The sequence below is a fragment of the Homo sapiens genome, chromosome 2 (genome assembly GCF_000001405.40).
Source record: "Homo sapiens chromosome 2, GRCh38.p14 Primary Assembly".
In the NCBI taxonomy this organism is placed as follows: domain Eukaryota; kingdom Metazoa; phylum Chordata; class Mammalia; order Primates; family Hominidae; genus Homo; species Homo sapiens.
The window spans coordinates 97,829,579-97,855,484 of NC_000002.12; the positions used below are offsets into that span (position 1 = coordinate 97,829,579).

The 25,906-nt window shown below is 37.5% G+C and overlaps 1 protein-coding gene across 8 annotated transcripts in view; it reads right to left on the minus strand.

Annotated features, from left to right (window-relative positions):
* The window catches only part of TMEM131 (transmembrane protein 131), a 239,613-nt gene that overhangs the window by 73,243 nt on the left and 140,464 nt on the right, over window positions 1-25,906 (minus strand). For all 8 annotated transcript variants that reach the window (XM_047443844.1, XM_047443843.1, NM_015348.2 and 5 more), the window contains 6 exons: window positions 14,567-14,683; window positions 12,237-12,359; window positions 7,499-7,579; window positions 5,197-5,347; window positions 5,043-5,099; window positions 3,787-3,848 (listed from right to left, as the gene is read on the minus strand). In XM_047443844.1, coding sequence (XP_047299800.1) covers window positions 3,787-3,848; window positions 5,043-5,099; window positions 5,197-5,347; window positions 7,499-7,579; window positions 12,237-12,359; window positions 14,567-14,683 — 591 coding nt within the window. The remainder of the gene's footprint in view (window positions 1-3,786; window positions 3,849-5,042; window positions 5,100-5,196; window positions 5,348-7,498; window positions 7,580-12,236; window positions 12,360-14,566; window positions 14,684-25,906) is intronic.

Here is a 25,906-nt window from a genome sequence, read left to right on the forward strand (position 1 = left end):
TAAAAGCTAGCCACCCAAGCCAGCAGAGGCAACTAGGGTCCCCTTCCACGCTGTGGAAGCTTTGTTCTTTCGCTCTTAATAAATCTTGCTGCTGTTCACTCTTTGGGTCCGCACCACCTTTAAGAGCTGTAACACTCACAACGAAGGTCTATGGCTTCATTCTTCAAGTCAGAGAGACCAAGAACCCACCAGAAGGAACCAACTCTGGACACACAATGAAGGCTTGACCATTTTTCAATATGCTTAAAGGCTAGAAGTGGGAGTTCATCAACAACAAGCACAATATTTTTTGAGTGTTATCAGCCTGTACAACACCAAGCCAGAAATAGCAAAGCAAGGATGTTTGTTAAAATATAGTCACTATTAGTAAGAATTTAAAATAGTTGATGAAATTTTTTTCATGTGAAACACACCACTTTAAGATTTTCCTTACCAGATAAAAACTTTACATTAGTATTGCTACCTTAAAATACGCTGCAGTAATAACAAAGAAATATTCAACTGAAAACTCATGTTTTATACAAATGGTCTGAATTCTTCACTCATTATCAGTTAAAAAAAAAAAAAAAAAAAAAAAACCAAACCCAAATTGTTAAAACCCATTTTCCAGGGAAACAAAAAGCCAACAAACAAACCCAAGACAAAACACTTAAGTAGCTGGCCCATTCTGGTGGCTTTAAATGACAACTCATACACAATCAACACCTTGTAGTAAGCATATTTATACAACAACCTGTTAGTGACTATTGCTAACTCAAAGATAATCAAGAAGTATAAAACTATTGCAAGTTTCCCAGGAAAGGCAGTTCGCAAGCTTGCATATGTTCTAAATATAGTTCTAGGCTTTTCTCACAACATTCAGACCCAACTAATGCTCAGTAACCCTCAAGTGAAATTCAACGGTCCGGAACATTCTAAAACTGCTTATAAAAGCACTTGAGCAAATAAGGAAAAAAGCACTTTCAGCATTTAACATTGTATTTCTAATAATTTGTGTATGAGTTCACTAAAGCATATGTTAAGCTGATATTATGATTCCGATTTGTTAATTACCAAGGGAAACCTCATGCAAACATTCCTCTGAAGGCATCTCAGGCAAACTTACTCCATCATTTATACAGCACTAATGTTTTGTAAATGCTGAGGAAAGCCATTTTCTCAAAGTTGCATTATAGACATATTAGGAGAGTTTGGACCTGCGCATCCTGTCTGTTAGCAGTTGAGGAACTTCTATTTGGAATTGCTTGCTTTAGTAATCCTATATTTAGAAAGAGAATGAATTCCCTGAAGGGGAATTTAAAAAAAAGATCTCCAGCTTCTAGCACTGCTTAGCAAATCCTGAAAATTCTATGTTTGTGAAACAAAAGGAGACAGGAACCTTTCTAAATATCTATAGTCTCTAAGCCTGGTGAATTATGCAGAAAATGCTGAAACACACAGGGAAAACCTTAAGAAGAGCTCTGAAAACTCAGTTTCCACGGTAGGTGGGCTTGCCCCATAGCTGATAAGGTGGGAAATCTAAGCCACCATCATTTCTCAGGCTGATTGCTAAATCAGATCCCAAGTGGTCTCCTTTGCTTTCTGCCCTTCCATGTCTGTAAGTTCACTCTCCACAAAGTAGCTACAGTGACCTTTTACAACACATAAATCAGATGATGTCACTCTCGTTTAAAATCCTGTAATAATTTCCCATTACACTTAGAATAAAATCTAAATATCTCCCAGAGTTCCAGAGAGCCCTGATAAACAGTGAGCTTGATGGGGTAGGGAACCCCAGTGGTCTGATTCACTGCTGTATTCTCAGTCAGCATAGCAGCTAGCATACAGTTGATGTTCATTAAATATTTATTGAATGGGTGAATGAAGGCGGGAATAAGAGAAAACTACCAAAACACTGGCAGAGTTTGGGCTTTGGATATTATAAAAGATACACACATAGGTAGGTACAGATGTAGGTACAGATGTATTATATTAACAGATATATAGGTTTTTAACAGAAATAGACTATGCAATTAAAATGATATATTCATAAAGATGTGATTGCTAAGTGACACTGTATAATATACTTTCATGTTTCACATACCTCTTTTTTTTTTTTTTTTTTTTTTTTTGAGACAGTCTCGGTCTGTTGCCCAGGCTGGAGCACAGCGGCGTGATCTTGGCTCACTGCAGCCTCCACCTCTGAGGTTCAGGCAATTCTCCTGCTTCAGCTTGAGTAGCTGGTACTACAGGCACATGCCACCATGCCCAGCTAATTTTTGTATTTTTGGTAGAGACAGGGTTTCGCCATGTTGGCCAGTCTGGTCTTGAATTCCTGACTTCAAGTGATCCACCAGCCTCAGCCTCCCAAAGTGCTGGGATTACAGGCGTGAGGCCACCATGCCTGGCCTATTTTTGCATTTTTTATAGTTGTGTAAGTCACTTCCAAAAAAAAAAAAAAAAAAAAAAGCAGCTCTAACTCAGCTTTCCTATCTAGAAAACTAGGACCACTGCACCATATAGGTATTAAGTAATACATTTATTACATAGCAGTACTAGCATAGTGCCTGACCCAGTAAGAGCAAAAATGTTCACTTACAATATATCCTAAAACTCCTTAGTGAATAAGAAAAAGGACAAACATGGGCCTATTTAATTCCATGTCATAAGTGACCTGAGTACTAGTTCTTCATTCACATTCTTAGGGTTAATTGCCAATTTCATTTTCCTATAATATGTTTATTGAAAAAGATACTTGTTTCAGTCCATTTATTGTACGTAAAAAGTTAGGCTGGTTTGCTTGGGCTAAGTAAAGGCACTTTCCCATCTAGGAGAAATGCTAGGTCAGATATGAAGACAATGCCTGCATCCCGGTCCCACTAGTGAGGAAGGTCACTGCGCATCAGAATGTGGTTACCTGGGAAGACCATCTCTTGCTTCCTCGCTGGGGTTTGTATATTCTTCTCTCTTTGGTCTACTCCACCAGCTGGTGATAAAATCTGGGTATGGCCATCGATGGACAAAGGTCCCTTAAATCTCAAGCCCACATGATCTATATTTCATTTTGTCAGTTCACTGAAGTTAAGTTTCTGGCATCAGCACAAATTATAATAAAAATGTCCTATTTTCCTATATAATGATTACACATGTATATATCTTGGGGACCTCATCAGGGAGAGACGTTGTGGGCCAAGGCAAAACTTAGATATCCCTTTTTTTCCTAAAACTATCTAACGGCACCTCAATTCCATATGGCCTAAAAGTTACTTACTCTGTATGTATGTGTGAGGGAGAGAGGGCCTTAGTTTATAATGTGCTGCCTACGGTAACTCAATAACTGCTAGTTAGGGAGCCTGTGACAAGTGTTAACAGCACTTTACCACTACCTACAACATTTTTTTTGCTTATTTTCTTCCCAATTCATCTGACTCTTCTTCCTCTTTCCTGCCCATACCTTAACTCCAACAACCAAATCTGATGAAATCCTTATAACCTGTTTTTCTATACACATGGCCCACAGATTTTAGGATTTATCAGAACAGGCCTTTTATATGACTGTGCCTGTATAAGAAACTCATGAACTTTGGTTCAAACTTACTTTGAAAAGATTGCCCATTTCTCTCTCATCCTTAAAATCCGGGTGGCTGGGGCAGAACAGGTTTCTCACATCACACTTAGAACCAAAGTGTCACCAGGTCATCACCAAATATAATTATTTTAGAATAAGGGTTTAATTATTTTTAACTTTGTCATACATTTAAAAACAAAGAATATATAAATTAGGGGAAAAAAGAAGTAAAAACTTACTGTTATTGGTACATCTTTTGTTCCTGAATTTAATAAATGAAGGTTTAAAACTTTTGGTAGATCTGTTAAAATTGAGGAAAAGAAATATTTCTTAAAAAGGTGCTTTTTAGCCAAGTTAGAATCTTTACCTTATAAGATATCAAATTGAAGCTATCAATTTGTGAAATACAATGACAATAAGATTAATAAAAAGAAACATTAGGTGGTAATTGCTTTACTCATAAGGACATTGTGTATTATAAGAACTGTTCCCTCTTAAACCAGATTTTTGAAAACCCCAAAATATATACTTTTTTTTTTTTTTTTTAAATGAGACAGAATCTTGCTCTGTCACCCAGGCTGGAGTACAGTGGGGCATTCTTGGCTCACTGCAACCTCAGCCTCCTGGGTTCAAGTGATCCTCCTACCTCAGCCTCCTGACTAGCTGGGATTACAGGCATGTACCACCATGCCCAGCAGACTTTTGTATTATTTTTTTAGTAGAGATGGGGTCTCGTCATGTTGGCCAGGCTAGTCTTGAACTCCTGGCCTCAAGTGCCCTGCCTGCCTCCACCTCCCAAAATGCTGGGATTATAGGCATGAGCCATCATGCCCAGCCCCCCAAATATTATTTTTTTGTGAAGTCAGACATTACTAATCTTTTAGCTTTCCAGCAAAACATAATGAAGCAAATTAATAATTTACAATGTAAAAATATACTAACAGCAAATCTAATTTTTAAACATATGGTCTTCAATCTTAACTACATATTATTATATATAGTCCATATACATCCCAAATTACAAGTGCTCTTAGTTTTTCCTTAGCAAAAATCTTTACTTAGTTGTTTTTAATTTCAGAATTTGAGTTTTCTGAACAGCTGCAACAAACTTTCAACATTTTGTCAAAATGTAATTTAATAACTCATATCTAAACAAAATCCAGAAGTAAAAATCAAGATTCAGCGTAACTGAACTGATGAGCAACTGGATTAAGAAACTAGAAAACTATTTTCTGCCTCAATCTTCCATTTAGATGACTTAAATTATCCCATGGCCTTGTTTTCCAACCTGTTAAGCAATGCCACCCACCCCTCAGCGGAATGGGGTATAAACCTGTAAAGGCGCTGAGTCTGAAAAGGAGATTTGTACAAGATCATGCAACCAACTGAGAAATAATGTTTAAAGCTGAATTACATAGTAGAGCCATTCAGCACTGAATACAGGGGTTAAAAAAAAAAAAAACTCCATAAAGACTCTTTTAAAAGATTTTTTTACCTTGTGTTCTTAGTGTACCAAAATCTAACATTTCAGTTGAGGAATAAATTCCAGGAGCTTGGAAAAAAGAAAAGTCAACAATTATTTTTCACTTTGCCAGAGTAAGCTATACTGAAAACAAAACAACTTTCGATTTCATCAGTTTTCCACTAACCTGTTGTAACTTCAACCTCAACAGGAAGAATGATAAACTCTGTGCTGTCTGAAGCATTAGTCTTTATTCTTATGAAGGCTGTGTGATTATCTGCTTCTCTAGATGAAAAACTGGCTCTCATCACTCCCTTGGTTTCATAAGGAGGAATTTCCTGACAAGTTAACAGACCATAATGTAGCACAGCTTTTGTAATGTAGCAAAACCACCATTTTTTATTGAACTGGATGACACTGACTGAAAGATGAGTATTCTATATACCTATTAATAAAAAAAATGCATTGCTAATTAAACCAATATGTAACACACACTCCATTTCTGGAGAACTTTAAAATGTGAAAAATGTGCTGTTTAGAATTGATGAAATACGATATGTAAGGTAGGCAAAGCAAAAGAAGTCAAATGATCTGAAAACAAATTGTCAGTTACAAAATCACCATTAAAAGGTAAAACTAATCTACAAAATCAGTTATTTTTTAATATGCTAGTTAGTGGTGTTTGGGTATATAACTCAGTCTTGAAATTTAACCAACAGAAATGTCACCATCAGAGGTAAATACTTTTCTAGAAGTCCACAAGAACCTTCATAAATGATAACCAGCAGGGCTTACACTGCTCTTTCATGGAAAACTTAACAATGCAAAGCTTCTCAAGTAAATCCACAGTTTACCAACTGCATTCATGTAAGACAGCATACATTTTCAGTCCCGTAATGAGAGAACATTTATATACTAAAAGGAAGACTTACTGGAAAAAAAATTTTGAGGAGTAATCTCTTTCCTGGTTTCAGAACAATATGGCTCCCTGGGACTGCCTGAATTTCTTCTCTGCACAAACCTTTCAGCATATTTTAGGAGATTCTTGTGTTCTACAGCTTAGTGGCCTTCACTTATCCCTACTCTCTTTTTTAGTCCCAAAGTAGAAAACAGGTGATTGGGACCCTCCTAAGATTGGAGGGATGGACCATCCACTCCCCAGCTCTAGGGAGTTGACTTGGTCTCTGGGGTTTTCACCTATACACCGAAATAGGCTGGAGGTGAGGTCACAGCCCATTGGCTTTTTTCTCAGTCTAGGTTTGTAGGAATAAGAACTACCATATCTTTTTTTGCAGCCACTAGGACTATAAAAACATGCTATTCTCTGTTATCATTATCACTCTTGACTATTTAAAAATCTGAATTCTCTTAGGTTTATTTATTAGATACCAATTATGTTTCACAGGAAGTTCTTAGTTCTGTCTAGAATAATATATACAGATATAATAGTCTGAATTTAATCCTCTGAAGGATTGTTTTATAGATGATTTTTCCCTCAAACACCACAATTTCAAGGTGAAACATTTTTGTGAAAGGATATAAATGAACTGTCCATTGCATATTTCTTTTTGCTGGTTGTGTTTCTATATTCTGGGAATTAACCAAATAACTGGCTGATAAATTTGTTTCTAGATGTTCATATTAACATTCTAAAAACATAATCTCCACATCTCTTCTGTGGTCAAGACTGGTCAGAAGACAGAATCAAGAGGCTGTGTGTGTGTAACAGCAGTTAATAAAGAAACTCTGATCCTCAAACCTTACTCCTGGTTGTAAAATTTGTGTTCCTCCATTACAGATGAGCAGTGATCTGAGTGAGCTGGATATGGAACTGAATTGACCACAATTGCCTTCTCCCTCTTGAATTAAAGCATGGTAAACATTTTTAAAACTCACAAATGGCAAGAATCTTTATAAATAAGGTTCTCTTACATATTCTTTAATTTGGTTAATATTGTTAAATATTCAACAATATTGAAGGTGAACACAGATCACCTTCAAGAATTAAAATTTTTCTAAGTTATCGCAGGCACTTGACTAGGTTCTCTCTGCAAATGCCATCTCCTTTACCAATGGTGAATCTGAACATTCAATTACTTACCTTCAAAAACAAAACAAAAACATAATGAATGCTTCCTACATTTTTTTAATCATTTACATTTTTTTATGTGTAAAGCACATCATAAATTATCAGACTCAGAGACAACTTTACCCATATAATTCGGAGGAAGAATAGCTGAAGTTACTTTCTTTCCATGTAGTGGGGTAGAACTCCCACCAATTTTACTCACTGCCCTTTCCAAAAATTACTACTTATATTCTTTCCTCCTCCAATTTTCATATATACTTGACATAAATTAACATTAAGACAACGATTAAAGAGAAGTCATCCATATTTGTTAAGCCTATTAAGGAGTTAAATATTTTCTAATTTAAGAATAATCGGTTTCATGGGAGCACACACAAGAGAAAACTAGGTTACAACTCACCCACAGTTTTCTGGTACCTCCTTGTTGACCCGTTGGGAGTTCTAGGTGAAGGTCTCCTCCACTAGAGTACATTTCTACAACCTGGGGCAAAAGAGCACATGATGGCTACGTTCAAAGTCATATTCTCAAAGCAGGTGACTTGCTATTACACAGAAATAATTCTGACATCCTAACTGTTTATCACAAAACATTTAAAGATATAAACGTAGGATATGTATAATATCACTAAATTCAGTGCTCTGTATGTGTAAGCAATAGTTGTATTTTTAATTAAAATAAGGTAACTTTGAAAATTTAACTTAGAAACAGTGTAAGTACCATAGTTGTTCCAGAGACCAGATTTTAGAAAGTAACAGGATACTTATTTTTCTTTTTTCCAAAGGGAATCACTTACAAAAATTACCAAGTTTTGGAAACATAAATTTTGTATTTCTTACAGTAACACAAAGTGCTTCTTTATCCATACATTTATAACAAGAGCCAGCAGTGGATCAAATAACTACCATAATTGTGAGATGGGGAAGAGTAAAAATATTTGAGATATATACAAAATAACTCTAATGGAACATGAAAATATGTGGTTTCTACTGGTAGCAAAAATATTTCTGTGGCTTATGCCTAAGCTTACTTTTTTTAAACAGCTTTATTGAGTTATTTATGTAAAATAAATAATACATATTTAAAGTATACAACCTGATGAATCCTGACCTATGTGTTTGGGCATAAAACCATCACTGTAATTAAGATATTAAATATATCCATTATCCCCAAAAGCTTCCTCATGCCTTGTGCAATCCATCCATCCTTCTCTGTCCCTTCCTATTTCTAGGCAACCACTGATCTGCTCTCTATCACCTCAGACTAGCTCATATTTTCTAGAGTTTTATCTAAATGGAATAATACAACATATACTCTTGTGTCTGGCTTCTTTTGCTCAATGCAATTATTTTGAGGTCTACCACTTTGTTTATGCATTAATAGTTCACTTCTATTTGATGACTATACCGCAGTTTTTCAATCCACACATTAATGGGACATTTGAGTTGTTTCCAATGTCTGGCCATTAAAGAGAAAGCTGCTGTGGATACTGAGTACAAGTCTTGGTGTGGTCATCTGCTTTCCTTTCTTTTGGGTAAATATATATACACAAAATGGGTCACAAGGCAGGAGACCTTCCTTTAAAGGTAAGCTAACCCTAATTCTTAAAAAGAAAAAATATATTTAATTCAATTAAATTTGGGGTGAAGTATGAGAATGGGTGGAAACGTTCACTTGTTTCATCACAAGAAGTCCTCCAGGAGTGAATAAAAAAGGATAAAGCAAGAAAAATGGCAATTCTTAAGCTTAAACTTTTTTTTTTTTTTTTTTTTTTTTTTTTTTTTTTTTGAGACGGAGTCTCGCCCTGTCGCTCAGGCTGGAGTGCAATGGTGTGATCTCGGCTCACTGCAACCTCTGCCTCCTGGGTTCAAGTGATTCTCCTGCCTCAGCCTCCTGAGTAGCTGGGATTACAGGCACATGCCTCCACGCCCAGCTAATTTTTGTATTTTTCGCAGAGATGGGGTTTCACCATGTTGGTCAGGCTGGTCTTGAACTCCTGACCTCGTCATCCACCCATCTCGGCCTCCCAAAGTGCTGGGATTACAGGCATGAGCCACTGCGCCTGGACCCTTAAAGGTTTTTTTTGTTTGTTTGTTTTTTTGGCAGGGGCCGGGGAGTTGCTGCTGTAAAAGTAATGCATTTACCAAAGACTGATAAGCTATAGATTTTCTTTGTATATTATTACTTGCCTGCTGATTTGTTACAGTGCTCATCTATAGTGCTTATTGTGTTAATAATAATAGCACCTTAAATGATAGGATGACTATAGAACTTTTTCTGGAAAACCAGAAAACATCACACATTATTTCATCAATCCTTCCAAGTATCAAGCAAACAAGCATAACAATGCTTGAAAACAGAAGATTAGACCAGACTCAGTGGCTCATGCCTGTAATCCCGGCACTTTGGGAGGCCAAGGTAGCGGGGATCACTTGAGCCCAGGAGTTGTAGGCCAGCCTAGGCAACATAGTGAGAGTCTGTCTCTACAAAAAAATAAAAAACATTAGCCAGGTGTGGTGGCGTGCACCTGTAGTCCCAACTACTCAGGAGACTGAGGTAAAAGGATTGGTTGAGCCTGGGAGGTCAAGACTGCAGTAAGCCAAGATGGCACCACTGCACTCCAGCCTGGTGTCTGGAAAACCAACCAACCAACCAACCAACCAACCAACCAACCAACCAACCAACCAAAAAAACCCCCAGAAGATTAAAAAGTCGCCTACTGATAACAGAGAAAATGAATAAAGAAATAGAGACAGAAAAAGTCTAAATTACAAAGTCAAACAAATAATTACACTAAAACTAGGAACCTGACACATTCTTTATTTTTAGTCCAGTGCTATTTGTTCTAATTTAGTATAGTTTAGGAAAAAAAGGAAGCCAAACATTATGTACAGAATATATTATGTGTAAACAAATTCCCACAATAAATGTTTCTGTGCCCACATACACGCATGCACAAGAGAAAGGTCTAGAATGATACATACAAGGTGGCAAAAGTGGTGTCCACGAGGAAGGGCTTGGACTGCAACTATGCTGTCTATGCAATAGCTATCAGCTACATGTGGTTATTTACATTTAAATTAGTTGAAATAACATTTTGGCCACCCTAGCTGAATTAAAGAGCTCAACAGTCACACGTAGCTAGCGGCTACTGTTTTGGACAAAGCAGGAAAGGAACTATTCCATCATCACAGAAAGTTCTGCTGGACAGCTGGACTGGGAAGTAGGAAGTTCAAAGGGACGTTTTTGCTTCATTCATGTTTGAATTGTTAACATTTTTTTCCTGAGGAGAACATACTCATGTGTTTATGTTGTATAATCAACAAACGATATACATTTTCTCGCTTTACAATCTTTTCTTACTGTAATATTGACAAGACTAGTGACACACAGTAACACTGGACTACAAGGGTAAGAGTGTCTTCCCAGGTAAACAATCTATATTTGGTTCTAAGAGAGTAACTTTGGTGTTCCATTTGCTCTCTTGTGTAAATCTTGAATTAAAATGTTTTAACTGGAAAAAGACTAGATGAATTGAATTCGAAGTGATCACTGTGCTGGGCTTGGTAACTCCAAAGGCTGAAGAGAAAAGGTACAGACTGTAAGGCAACTCTGGCAATTGTAGACTGACCAACATCTGCTGAGTCCTGCAAGCTCCATCCTTGTGGTCTGGCCACCACAATGAGGCAGCACCCTTGGGGCACCCTGTTAACAGCCCTTCTACGGCACAGTGGGGCAACTCATGCAGTCGGGTCTAACGGAGTAAGAGGCCAGGCACAGTGGCACATGCCTGTCATCTCGGCACTTTGGGAAGCTAAGGCAGGAGGATTGCTTGAGGCCAGGAGTTCAAGGCTGCAGTGAACCATGACCGTGCCACTGCACTCCAGTTTGAGTGACAGAGTGAGACCCTGTCTTTTGTAAAAACAGGAAAGAAAGCAGCAAGAATTTCTGAAGTTTCTACATAGATTTGTAATAACAGCCAGAACAGGGAAACTACACCATTACCTAAAGTATCAAAAGGACGTAAACAACAGAAGGATGGTGAGGATAAGAGGGAATACTTCCCACCTGAAAAGCAGGACATAAGAACAGGTTCTTCTGTGATGCAGACATCCAGCTACAAAAATTAAAACTGGGGCTATCTTCACCCAGTTGTTGCCAAGTGTTGGGGAGAGATTTCTTTCGTGCTGCTTTCACTTATCATTTCTAAGCATTTCACTATTCAGGCTCTGAACATTTCCCTGGTTCATCCTCATTTCCTCTTCCATTGTTTATGAACAGTTATACCAGGGTGGTCTGGGACAACAGCCATTTTAGTTGCCAAAGCCCTATACTTACCACAAAATATAGTATTTTTCCTCCACCTGTCATTTTCAAGCTGCTTTTAAGTCCTGCAGTGTTGGTCCGAAAGAACTCTGGCACCCTGGACTATTCTAGAAAGCATTCACATCTACTTTTAACACAGACAACACAACTAGAAGCCACAGAGGCTGCACATGTCACACAGCTAAGTCCCTAGGATGTAAGGTAGAGATTTCAGAAAATCTCTGAAGGAATGACACTAGCCACTTCCACTGTGAAAGAGACAAGGAGCTAGTGAGGAGGAATCTCACACTTGAAAACAATTACTGCTAGAAGATTAGGTAAGATAAGTTGAATTTTTTAAATAAAAAAACAAGCTTGCTTTTAAGCATAATTCTATATTACCCTTTCCCTGAATTTTAATTTCTAGGTTGCCATCACCAAAAATTTATTATTTCCAGAAATAAACTTGAACTGTTTTAAAAAACATGGATATTGGGCCAGAAAGTGTTTACAGGCAAGAAAAAAAGCAGCCTTGTGTAGCTAAAAACTCTTCTTTAAATGCAGAGCTGCCTAAACTATAACACCAGAGAAGACACAGTCGTTTTAAAAATGATTCAAAAAATTCAAAATCCAGACTGCTGTATTCCAAAATTCAGACTGCTGTATTCCAAAATTCAGACTGCAGCAAGCTGTACTAAAAGTAATACCCCTCTCAATACACTATAAAACCCTATTATTTTAAATAGTCTTGGAAACTGTAACAAACTGAGATTTCATGCTAAGCATTAATTCCCACCAAAATGAAGCTTATTCAAAATTACCATCATAAACTCACCTGTAAAGGCTCACTGTGAGGATTGTGGATGTTTATTATAGGTGAGAAACTGCTATTCACAGGGACTCTGGCCCCAAGGAACGGCCTCAATCGATATGGATTTGGAACTCCAACACCAAATACCTGTTTCAGTGGAGGAAAAAAATGCAATTTTAGTTGCTTTTATAATTAATATTTTTAGTTATAACTGACTGATCTAGGGAGACTGGCAAATCTAATTTATGTATAAAAAATTAACAATCCCTTTATTTAAAAAAAACCCCCACAAATGTTGTTTCTGTACATGATTTGGCTACATATTTGATTGACTATGTATGTGAATTTAGAATGATTTCTTTAATATATTAGAAATTGAATAACAGTCCTTCAAGAAGCCATGCAATAGACAAAAGAAGAAAATAGGGAGTCAAAAGATTTCCTGACCCCAACCATCAGAAGATGGATCTACGGCCCAGACAACCTCTCAAATACCAAGCCCAGCCCCAGGTCATTCCCACATGGGATGGCCCTAGGTTGACTAAGCAGGGTAAACCAGTAATTCAAATGATATTATTAATATATTGCTATTTATTAAGTGTCTATGAGGTGCTAGGCACATATACAATAGTGAACAATTCAACAGTAAAAAAACAGATAATGTGCTGGGTCTCATGAAACTTACATCGTAGTATTGGAGACAGACTGGATACCAATAAAAAGATTTAAAAAAAAAATCCCTCTGCCAGAGAGTGAGTAACAGACAGTGTTGGGGGAGAGTGGAGGGCATTCAGACAGCTAATGTGTAATCCAGTGAGAGTGGCCTGGAAGACAGCAGTGGTAGTGAGGAGGAGGGAAGTAAACAGACTGGAGATATATTTGGTGAAAGACTAGATGTGAAGAGGTAAAGAAAGAAGACAGCTGGCCATTGGGGTCACCTTGAGAACAACCTGATCATGACCCTCAATAGTCCAGATTGGCTGCCATCACCTAGGTCTGTTGTGGGATGCCATCGTGGGGCAATGACCTTCATTTTTATGATAGTCTTTTCATTTACTCAACACGTACATGCTAAATGGGTAAGATCTGTCTAGCACTTCAAAATTACTGAACCAACCATCAACAGCGTACTGAATGCCTACTAAGCAACCGCTAAAGATTTACTCACCATACATAAGCAGAAGACACAGTCCTTACTGAAAGGGAACACTGACTCTGACTGACCCTTATTTTATATGATATGTCAGAGTTAATGGGTACTGGGGAGGAAATGTTTAAAAAAAAAAAAAAAAGCACAGGAACTGTAAAGTAATGTGTCAGAGCTAACACTCAAGTTCCACTGGCAGCACAGCACAGTGGTAAAGATTATGGTCTTTATACTTACAAAGACATGAGTTTGAGTCCCCCTCAACAACTTACTAATAGCATGACTTGGGCAAATGATTTAACCTTTTAAAACTTCAAGAATAACTGTACCTATAACATAGGTAGAAGGGCATGTATAGTACACTGCTGGACAAATATGAGCAATTATTGTTAAGAATCTTTGTTTTTCTTCATTTAGAGATGTGGTCTTGATCTGTCACCCAAGGTGGAGTACAGTGGTGTAATCATAGTTCACTGTGGCCTTGAACTCTTGGGCTCAAGCGATCCTCCCACTTCAGCCTCCCGAGTAGCTGAGACTACAAGTGCTCACCACTGTGCCCAGTTAATTTATAAAAATGTTTTTTGTAGAGATGAGGTCTTGCTTTGTTGCCCAGGCTGGTCTCGAACTCCTGGCTTCAAGTGATCCTCCCACCTTGGCCTCCCAAAGTGCTGGGATTACAGGTGTGAGCTACCATACCCAGCCTTAGTCCTGACATATAAAAATCTTGATTCACAAACAGAATAATGGCTGATATACAAAAAGATTTACTATATGACTCCTATATACATTAACTTTCTTTAATGACCTAAACCAAAATTCTATGTAAAAATAAGTTTATCAAAAAATACCTACTAAAGGAAAGTAGACATGAATGTTTTAATCTTGACACTATTATCAAGTATGCTTCATAAGTGTGTAAAAGTAAAAATTAAACAAAATTTTATAAGTCAGCATGAAAATATTTTTTCACTATTCTTTTGTCAATCTTAAATTAACACTTTAGCTGTTGCTTTAAAATCACCTGTTCAGTCTGATTTGAATAGAGATATTGAATAGAGATATTCACTGTAAGTATAAAAATGCTCTAAGTCTAAACTCCTACATTTTCTATTATCCTTTGAGTTCCTGAGTTCTTAAAAGGCTGTCATATGATAAGGCAGAGGTAATGATTATATTGTATAAAATAAGTTTTAATTCTGGTTCTTACCTGGTAAGTAAATACCCCATGATTAGATGTATTAATAAATAAAGTATTTTCTACATTTCCTACTACTCTTGCAAGAAAAACTACATCAAATGATGTATTTCCTCCTGGAAGAATTTTCTGAAACAGAAAATAAAGTTAAATTTGTAACAAGAAAAAAAATTATACAGCTCAAGTTCCTTAAACAAGTTTCTTAGAATCACTTCCATAAACTAGTTTTTCCTTTAAAAGTTTAAGCTTTAAGTTAGCAGTGGAAAATAATTAAAAAGATGTCTTCCATATTGAATGTCTACAGTCACATATCTTTGTCAATTACCAGCCACAGCCTTGTACAACAGATGGTTTCCTGGATTCTGTTCATTTAACAATCACTAGGCTGGCATGAAGTACCTAATTACAGGCTGTTCCACGATGAGACAATCAGATAGGAGTTGCGTTGAGGCTGAGTTTTCATATAGATATACTGCTGTACTACTAAGCAGTGACTTGTTTTAGTCCAAAGAATAAGCCCAGGCCTCAACCTTATGAAATCTGCCTTCCATCCACACAAGGAACAAAATGTCCCAGCAACTTAAATAGGAAAGAAGGCAGGGGTGAATGTATGTGCAGGAACTCACTCCTGTTACTTTCTGCAGATTAAGAATGTCACTATAGTTAGTAAAATAAAATGTTATTACCACAAAACAATAGGGCTACTCCCATGTTCAAGAGACTGAAATTGCGGTTCTGCCCTGAAACAAAGCCTTAAAGTGCATTTTAATATGTAAAGCCATCAACCTCTCTCATTCTGCCTCTATGGCTAGAACTCTAAAATGCTACCTAAATGATAGCTCAAAATACATGGTAGTAAGACTCTGGCTTCACCTTAGTCTGAAGAAAGCGAGAGTATGTCTCCTACATTACCACCAACAAAAGAGTAACTTACAAGTTGTGAATTATTGTAATTATTCTTTTGTTGCATTATATTACGGTAATGTAGTGCAACAAAAGAATAATTACAATAATTCACAACTTTTCTTGAACCCATCACAGAGTGAGATTATCAACTAGCCTGAAATCGTAGAAAAGACAAGCACCTCCAAGGACAGATAGAATGGGAATACTGGCTCACCCATGGCAGAGAAGGGAAGAAGATGAGGCTATCATACAGGAGTGTCAGCTAGAAATGCAGCTAACATGTTTACACATTGCTAGAGGTTGACTGTGTGAACTTGCACGGGAGCACAAAAGCCCTGGAAGCTGTAGACACTGGTGCTATTCACACCTGAGCCAGAAATTAGCAACAGAAAGATACCCGGCAAACCCTCAAAAAGTCTGAAATTCAACAACATACTTCTAAAATAAGCCACGGGTGAAATGAGTAGTAACAAGAGAAATTATAAAATATTTTGAATTGATTGGAAATGAAAGCACAATATTAAAATCTGTAGGCTGCAGGTAAAGCAATACTTGGAAGAAAATTTATAGCATTACATGCTTATTTTGAACAGAAATGTTTCACATCAATAATCTACATTTCTGTTTTGAGACACTAGAAAAAGAATAAATTAAACCCAGAGTAAGCAAAAGGAAGGAAAATAAAGAGTAAAAATTAATGAAATAGAAAACAGAAAGTAGCAAAAAAAAAAAAAAATCAATAAAACCGAAGCTGGTGCCTCAAAAAGTCCATAAAATGGATAAAACTCTACAGAGAGTGACTGTGATAAAAAGGGAGAAGTCAAAAATATAAGGAACTAAAATGTGGACATCATTGCATACACTTTACACACAAAAAGAATGATAAAGGAGTATTACAAGCAACTCCATGCCCACAAATTTAACAGCTAGGAGAAATGGACACATTCTTTGACAGTCGGCTAGATCTGACACAATCTGCCAAAGCTCACTCAAACTGAAATAGTCGTGCACACAGTTAAAATTTAATTTGTGGTTTAAAATCTTCCCACAAAGAAAAGCCCGAGCTTAAATGATTTCACTCGTGGAAAAGAATTCTCTACCAACCATTTAAGAAAGAAATAATACCTACGTTACATAAACTTTCCGACATACAGGAGAGAACATTCCTAATTCAGCATTACCCTGAATCAGGACCACATAAAGACTTGAAAAGTATAAGCCAATATCCTTCGTAAACATAGAAACACAACTTTCCACAAAGTACGGCAAACTGAATCGAGGCAAGATATAAAACGGGCAACACATCATGAGCAAGTAGTTTTTAACCTAGAAATGCAATTCTAGTTCAACATTCAAAAATCAAATCAATGTAATTTACTTAACAGACTAAAGAAAAAGCACAAGATCATCTCAACAGCAGCATATAATTTGACAAAATTGAATATCAAGTCATGATTTAAAATCTCAGTAAACTAAGTCAATAGAAGAGAACTCCCTCAATATTATAAAGAACACCTACAAAAACCCTAAAGAAGCTTGTCCATCCTGCAGCCCATGGGCTGCATGCAGCCCAGGATAGCTTGAATTGGGCCCAACACAAATTTGTAAACTTTCTTAAAACATTAAGTTTTTTGGTGCCTTTTTATTTTAAAGCTATCATTAGTGTATTTTATGTGTGGCCCAAGACAATTCTTCTTCTTCCAATGTGCCCCAGGGAAGCAAAGATTGGACACTCCTGCCCTAGGAGCTACCACAGCATTTAATGGTGAATGATTGAATGCTTTTCCTCCAAAATTTAAAACAAGGCAAGGATGCCCTCTCTTATGACAGCTATCTAACACTGTATTGGACGTGCAAAGAGGGCCGGCGCGGTGGCTCACGCCTGTAATCCCAGCAATTTGGGAGGCCGAGGTGGGCGGATCACAAGGTCAACAGATTGAGACCATCCTGGCCAACATGGTGAAACCCCACCTCTACTAAAAACACAAAAATTAGTTGGGTGTGATGGCGCGTGCCTGTAGTCCCAGCTACTGGGGGGGGGGGGGGGGGCCGAGGCAGGAGAGTCGCTTGAACCCGGGAGACAGAGGTTGCAGTGAGCAGAGATTGCGCCACTGCACTCCAGCCTGGTGACAGAGTGAGATTCGGTCTCAAAAATAAAGTGCAAAGAAGTGCGAAAAAGAGATAAAAGGCACTACACATTAGTACAGAAGAAAAATCTGTTTTTATTCAGATAACATGGCTTTCTACACAGAAAAATCCCTAAAAATATCTATAAAAATCCTCCTAAAAGAGTTTAACAAAGTCATGGGAATCAAGGTCAACATATAATGATCAATTGTATCTCCATATACTAGCAATGAACAAGTGGAATTCTAATTTTTAAAAACGTACTATTTAGGATAACACACACACAAAGAAATACTGAGGTATAAATCTAATAACATACAAGTTCTGTAAGCTGAAAACTATAAAACACTACTGAAAGTAACTGAAGAAGACAAATTAATGAAAATATTGTGTTCATGGGTTAGAAGACTCAATATTAGATGTTAGTTCTCCTGAAATGGATTTATATATCTAATGCAAGTGGAACCAAAATTCAGTCTAAGGAGAAGTAACAACTAAATGCAATAGGAAATAGGATCCTAAAACAGAAAAAGCAGTACACTGATAGAAAAACTGATGAAATTCATATAAGTTCTTTAGTTAATGGTATCGTACTAATGCTAGTTTCCTGGTTTGAAAATTGTACTATGATTATATAAGATGTTAACATCAGAAGAATGTTAGAGTGAGGAATATATGGAGAGTATTACTTTTCTGTACATCTTTAAAGTTAATTCAAAAGAACATTATAAAAAAAACTCAGCAGTATTTTTTTTTAAAGAAACTGACACGCTGATTCTAAAATTTAGATGATAAAGAAAGGAAATAAGGAAAGCCAAAGCAATTCTGAAAGAGAAAATCAAAATTGGAGGATTCATAGTATCTAATTCTAAGAATTAATATAAAGCCACAGTTATCAAAACAGTATGGGCTGGTGAAAGGACAGGTATTTCAGAGTCTATTAGATACGTATTAGAACATAGTGAAGAGTCCAAAACCAGACTCACACATACAAGGTCAACTGACTTTCAACAAAAGTACAGTGGGATTTCAATGAAAAAGAATAGTTGTTTTCAACCAACAGTCCAGGAACCAATGAATATCCACACACAAAACAAAACAATCCTCAATCCATATCTTATACCATAAACAAACAGTAGCTAAAAATGGACTGTAGATCTAAATATAAAATCTAAAACTATTATGGTTGTCCCTCAGTATCTGTGGGATTGGCTCCAGGACTTCATGCAGATACCAACATCTGTGGTTGCTGAAGTCTCTGCTAAAAAACAATGTAGCATTTGCATATAACCTATGCCTATCCTCCTGGCTATGCACGTATCTCCTGGGGATACTTTAAATAATCTCTACATTACTTGTAATACTTAATACAATGTAAATGCTATGTAAGTAGTTTATACTGTATTATTTGTTTGAACATGTACAGACAAGAAAAGTCTTGTTCAGTACAGAAGCACTATTTTTTTTTTCTCAAATAGTTTTGACCTGCAGTTGACTGAATCCATGGATGAGAAGCTCATGGATACACAGGGCCAGCTGTACTTCTAGGAAAAAAAAAGGAGAAAATCTTTGTGACTTTGGATTAGGCAAAGATTTCCTAGCTACAACTCCCAAAGCATGACCCATAAAAGAACAATTTGATAAACTGGACACCATGAAAATTATAAACTTCTGCTCTTTCAAATATTATATAAAAAGAATGAAAAGGTATGACACAAACTGGAAGAAAAGACTTGCAAATCACATATCTCAAGAAAGACTTGTATCCTGAACACATAAGGAACTCTCACGAACTCAATGAGAAAACAAACAACTCAACTTAAAAAACAGGCAAAGAACTGAACAGACACTTCACCAAAGAAAACATATGGATGGCAAATAAAAAGATGCTCAAAATCAATTTTCACTGGAGAATGCAAATTAAGATAAAAATGGCCTAACACTGTACACCTAGCTGAGTGACTCGCATCACAAAAAACCCAAACCTCACAATACAGAGTGCTAATAAGGATGTGGAGCAACCAAAACTCTCATGTTTCTCATGGGAATACAAACTGGAACAGTTGTTATAAAAAACTGTTAAAATCTGTAGGTAAATATTTACAGTGAGTTTATTTATAATAACTCCAAACTGGAAACACCCCAAAAGTCTTCAACTAGTGAATGAATAAACCACACAGTGACACCGCCAGCCAATGAAATACTATTCCATAATAATAAAGTGGTACAAAGAACTGATACAGCCTACTACACCAACCAATATGAAATGCATTATGCTAAAAGAAAGAAGCCAGACTAAAAATGCTATATGCTACATGGTTCCATTAATACAGTCTTCTGGAATAGGCTACACTCAGTGGTTTGAGTTGACCAAATTGTTGATTATATGACCTTATGGGTTTGTCAAAACTCAGAACTATACACTAAAAGGGTGAATTTCACTGCAAGTATACTATAATTTAAAAACAAATACATATAAAATATATATTAAATACATCAGTGTGTCTATGTATATATATGTGTGTGTCTGTGTGTGTATATCTCTCTCTCTCTTTTTTTTTTTTTTTTTTTTTTTACTGTTTTGGGTGAATCCACGAGGGTTGCGGATTCACTCAAGCATATTTTAGCCTGGACCTTTTTTCATAAGGGTCTCAGTGTTCATGTTCCCCTGGGGCAAGAACAAATAATTGAATGTTCAGGTTTAACTCTTGGTGGGCAAGATTAAAGCCAAATTAACTTTAAAACAACAAAATCTTGAAATGAAGTAGATAATATCACTGAGTTCAGGCAGTCCACCCACACTTTTTATTGTTGTGAATTTAATTCTACAGAATCATATGACTGGTCACCCTTTTATCACCTTCCTAACTCCCTCTGACAATATAAGGATTCACAGAACTGACACTGAGAGACATAGAGAGGACTCTCCGGCAGTATGAAAAAAACAAAACAAAACAAAACATGACAATATCATTTTCCCATCTAAGATGCCAGTGCTTGTAATACAGATGTTTTATACCATACCAAGAATGAGAAAAAGAAAAAAAAGAGAATGTTCAAAAATGCAGACCTAACAGATCTTCAGATAAAACAAGGAGTGAGGATGACAAGTACAAACCTGACCCACAGAAAGGGGCAGTGAAGAAAACTTATGTGAGTCATTCTGGGCACCGCAGGAAGGGAGAAAAACTAACTTATTCTTAGAATTTGCGCTATATATCAGTACTCATAGAGGTGTGTGGTCTGAATACATACCAGTGGTCTAAAAAAACCTCAAGCAGACAATTTAATGTTTCCTTGGTAGTGTTGAGACCACCAGTGCCATCCTCTCTGGAAAAACACACCCTTAATCCAGGCTGACCATGACTGTAAGGTGCCCTTGACTGTAACATGGGTCTCAATTTCTGATATAAAAGATGTGAAAAAAACATTTACCTATGTAACGAACCTGCACATCCTGCACATGTATCCCTGAACTTAAAATAAAAGTTGAAAGAAAAAAAACAGTAGCAAAATTAGTACAATAAATGCTGTGTATCCACCTAAAAAAAATCTAAAATGTTCTCTAAAAAAAGGTGAAAGTTTTAGAATTATGGTATTCCTACCCAAGAACAGTTCTAGTGTCAATGAAGAGATTCATAAGGCCTATGTTTATTACTGAAAATGTATCCAGAGGAAAACTGGTTTCCTTTAAGGTTTTTATGAGAACTTAATTTGATTTAAAAATGTCTATATTCAAACAATACCCTTTTAAGGCCCATCTAAACTCCAAAGAGTTAGAAAAATCACCATGGAATGTTTAATTTTTAGTGCAGTTTTCTGCCACTATCGGAACTGGACATCTAGTATGTAGATGATGGATAGGAGATCTGAGTTTCTAGTAATACCACTAAGAAACCGTAATTTTCCCAAGTCAGCACTGTACCATAGCTCAGTCCCTGGGCTTTTTCCTTCCTTGGTGATCTCATCCAGATCCATGGCTTCAGATATACACTAGTGACTCCTAAATTTCTATTTCTAGTCGAGTTCTCATATACCAAACTCGAATACTATCTGCCTATTTGCCACCTCCTCTTGGATATCTAGGAGATACCTGAAATCTAACATGTCCAAATTGAACTACTGATTGTACCTCTGAAACCCGTTCTACCCTCTGCCTTCTTCAATTCAGCTGACTCAACTCTGTCCTTCTAGTTGCTCAGGACAAAATTCTAGAGTCAATTTTGACTCTTCTCTTTCTCTCAAATCCCACATCAGGAAATCCTGTTGGGTGTATCTTCAAAACATACAGCATATCTCATTTTATTGTGCTTTGCTTTACTGCACTTCGCAGGTACTGCAGTTTTTTGTTTGACAAATTAAAGGTTTGTAGCAACCACGCATCAAGCAAGTCTATCAGTGTCATTTTTCCAACACCATGTACTCACTTTCTATCTCTGTGTCACATTTTGGCAATCTTGCAATATTTCCAAATTTTTCATTATTATTATATCTGCATGGTGATCTGTGATCTTTGATGTTGCTACTGAAATTGTTTTAGGGCACCACAAATTATGCCCACATAAGATGGCAAGCTTAAATCGAAAAATGTTATGTGTGTTCTCATTGCTCCACCAACTGCTGTTCTCCCAACTCCCTTCCTCTCCTCAAGCTTCCCTATTCCTAAGATACAATAATATTACAATTAGGCCAATTAGTAGCCCTACAATGGCCTGTAAGTGTTGGAGTAAAAGGAAGGGTTGCACATCTCTCACTTTAACCCAAAATCTGGAAATAAGGTTAGTGAGGAAGACATGCTCAAAGCCAAGAGAGGCTCAAAGCTAGGCCTTTAGTGCCAAACAGCCAAGCTGTGAATGCAAAGGAAAAGTTGTTGAAGGAAGTTAAAAATGCTATTCCAGTGAACACACATGTGGTAAAGAAGGAAAACAGCCTTATTGCTGATAGGGATAAAGCTTTAGTGGTCTGGATGGAAGAGCTAAGCAGCCACGGCATTCTCTTTTTTTTTTTTTTTTTTTGAGATGGAGTTTCGCTTGATGCCCAGGCTGGAGTGCAATGGCGTGGTCTTGGCTCACTGCAATCTCTGCCTTCCAGGTTCAAGCGATTCTTGTGCCTCAGCCTCCTGAGTAACTGAGATTATAGGTGCACACCACCACACCCAATTTTTGTATTTTTAGTAGAGATGGGGTTTCACCACGTTGGCCAGGTTGGTTTCGAACTCCTGACCTTAGGTGATCCACCTGCCTCAGCCTCCCAAAGTGCTGGGACTACAGGCGTGAGCCACCACGCCTGGCCTTGCCATACCATTCTCTTAAGCCAAAGTCTAATCCAGAGCAAGGCCCTGACTCTCTTTAATTCTGTGAAGGCTGAGAGAGGGGAGGAAGCTGCAGAATAGCTGAAAGCTAAAAGGGATCGATTCATGAGGTTTAAGAAAAGAAGCCAGCTCCATCACATAAAAGTGCAAGGTGAAGCATTAAATGCTGATGTACAAGTTGCAGCAAGTTATCCAGAAGATCTAGCTAAGATCATTGATGAACGTGGCCACACTAAACAACAAATTTTCCATGTAGATCAAGCAGCCTTCTGTTGGAAGATACCATCTAAAGAGAAGTCAGTGCCTGGCTTCAAAGCTTCAAAGGACAGGCTGACTCTCTCTTATTAGGGACTAACACAGCTGGTGGCTTTAAGTTGAAGCCAGTGCTCATCTGCCATTCTGAAAATTCTAGAGACCTTAAGAACTGTGCTAAATCTATTCTACCTGTGCTCTATAAATGGACAAGGCCTAGATAACAGCACATCTATTTATAACATGGTTTACTGAATATTTAAAATCCACTGTTGAGACCTAATGCTCAGAAAAAAGATTTCTTTCCAAATATTACTGCTCAGTGACAAGGCAACTGGTCACCCAGGAGCTCTGATGAAAATGTACAAGAAGATGCACGTTGTTTTCATGACTGCTAACACAACATCCATTCTTCAGCCAAGGATCAAGGAGTAATTTCAAGTTGCAAGTCTTCTTATTGAAGAAATACACTGCTTAAGGCTATAGCTGCCACAAAGGGTGATTCCTCTGATGGATCTGGGCAAAGTCCATTGAAAACCTCCTGGAAATGAGTCACCATTCTAAATGCCATTAAGAACATTTGCAGCTGGGCACAGTGGCTCAAGTCTGTAATCCCAGCACTTTGGGAGGCTGAGGCGGGTGGATCACCTGAAGTCAGGAGTTCGAGACCAGCCTCGCCAACATGGTGAAATCCCATCTCTACTAAAAAAAAAAAAAAAAAAAAAAATGTAGCTGGCAGTGGTGGGACGGGCCTATAATCCCAGCTATTCAGAAGGCTGAGGCAGGAGAATTGCTTGAACCTGGGAGGCGGAGGTTGCAGTGAGCCAAGATTGTGCCAGTGCACTCCAGCCTGGGCGACAGAGTGAGACCCCGTCTTGGAAAAAAAAAAAAAAAAAAGAACATTTGTGATTCATGGGAGAAGGTTAAAATGTCAACAATAGGAGGCTGGAAGAAGTTAATCCCAACCCTTATGGATGACTTTGAAGGAAGGGTTCAAGACTTCAGTGGAGAAGTCACTGTAGATGTGGTAGAAACAGCAAGAGAAAAGAATTAGAAGTGGCATCTGCAGATGTGAATGAATTTGTGCAATCCCATGATAAAACTTGAACGGAAGAGGAGTTGTTTCTTAGGGATGAGCAAAAAAAGTGGTTTCGTGAGATGAAATCTACTCCTAGTGAAGATGCTGTGAATATGCTGACAATGACAGCAAAGAACTTAGAATACTACATAAACTTAGAGGCAGGGTTTGAAAGGATTGACTCCAATTTTGAAAGAATTTCTGCTGTGGGTAAAGTGCTATTAAACAGCATTGCACGCTACAGAGAAATCTTTTGTGAAAAGAAGAATCAATGAATGTGGCAAACTTTACTGCTGTCTTATTTTAAGCAACTGTCACGGCCATCCCAACCTTCAGCAACCACTACCCTGATCAGTCAGTGGCTGTCAACATTGAGGGAAGGCCCTCCACCAGCAAAAAGATGACGACTTGCAGAAGGCTGACATGATCATCAGCAGTTTTTAGCAATAAAGTATTTTTGAAATTAAGGTATGTACATTTTTTAGACACAATGCTACTGCACTTAATAGGCCACAGTATAGTATAAACATAACTTTTATATATATGGGGAAACAAAAAAATTCTGTGACTGGCTTACTGCAGTGGTCTGGAACGGAACCCATAATATCTCCAAGGTATCCCTGTATCCCAAGTCCAACTCCTTTCTTCACCTCTTCCACGTACCACTCTGGTCAGAGTAATCATCTAATCATCTTCTTACCCTGGAGTATGACAACAGCCAATGTGACTGGTGTCCCTTGTCCTATTTTTGATGAACAATGATCCTATTAAAACCTAAAGCTACAATTTCATTCCTCTGTTCAAAACCCTTTGATGGCTTTCCACATCATTCAGGAAAAAGAGTCAAGTCAAACCATAGTTTGTAAGACCCTTCATAGTCTGCCCCCTTACTTCTCCTCTCACCCATGCTCACTCTGGTCTGGCTGTCTTTGCACAACAGGCCTGCTTTCAACAATGGAGACTTTATACTGCTTGGTCCTTCCGGCTAGAATGCTCTTCTTCCATATATTTCACTTTCCTCCAAACAGTCCTACCTCACGCCCTTCGAGTCTTTGTTCAAATGTCACCTTCTGAATAAAGCCTACCCTGACCACCCTATTTAAAATGGTACCGCCTTCCCTGTGCACACCTAAGTCTCTGATCTTATACTTTTCTTCTGACCTTGTAACATCTTCTAAGATCTTATAAAATTTACTTATTTATCATGCTTGCCTTCCCTCTGCTGCTGACTTCACCCAAACTCCCCAGAGTATGTATGATAAGCATCTCTGTTTTCACTGGTAAAAACAAAAGTGCCTGGCACTTTAAGTAGACACTTCATAAATATTTGTTAAATTAATTCCTTCTTTCCACATAGGTGGGGTGGCAAAACTATTTTTAATTTACATTTTCTTGTATGTTTTAAACTGCAAAAGTAACAAGTGCTTATTTTACTTAGTGATACAGTGCAAAGATGACTGAATAAAAAGCTAATACACTCAAACTTCCTCCATTCTCACCATTATTAGGTTATCCAGTCAACCTGGCAAATCTGTGCTTTATTCCGGCTCTTATTAATATACCCAAATAAATATACACAGATTTTTTGCTTTTAATAAAAATGGCATTATAGGCAAGGCACGGTGGCTCACGCCTGTCATCCCGGCACTTTGGGAGGCTGAGGCAGGCAGATTGCTTG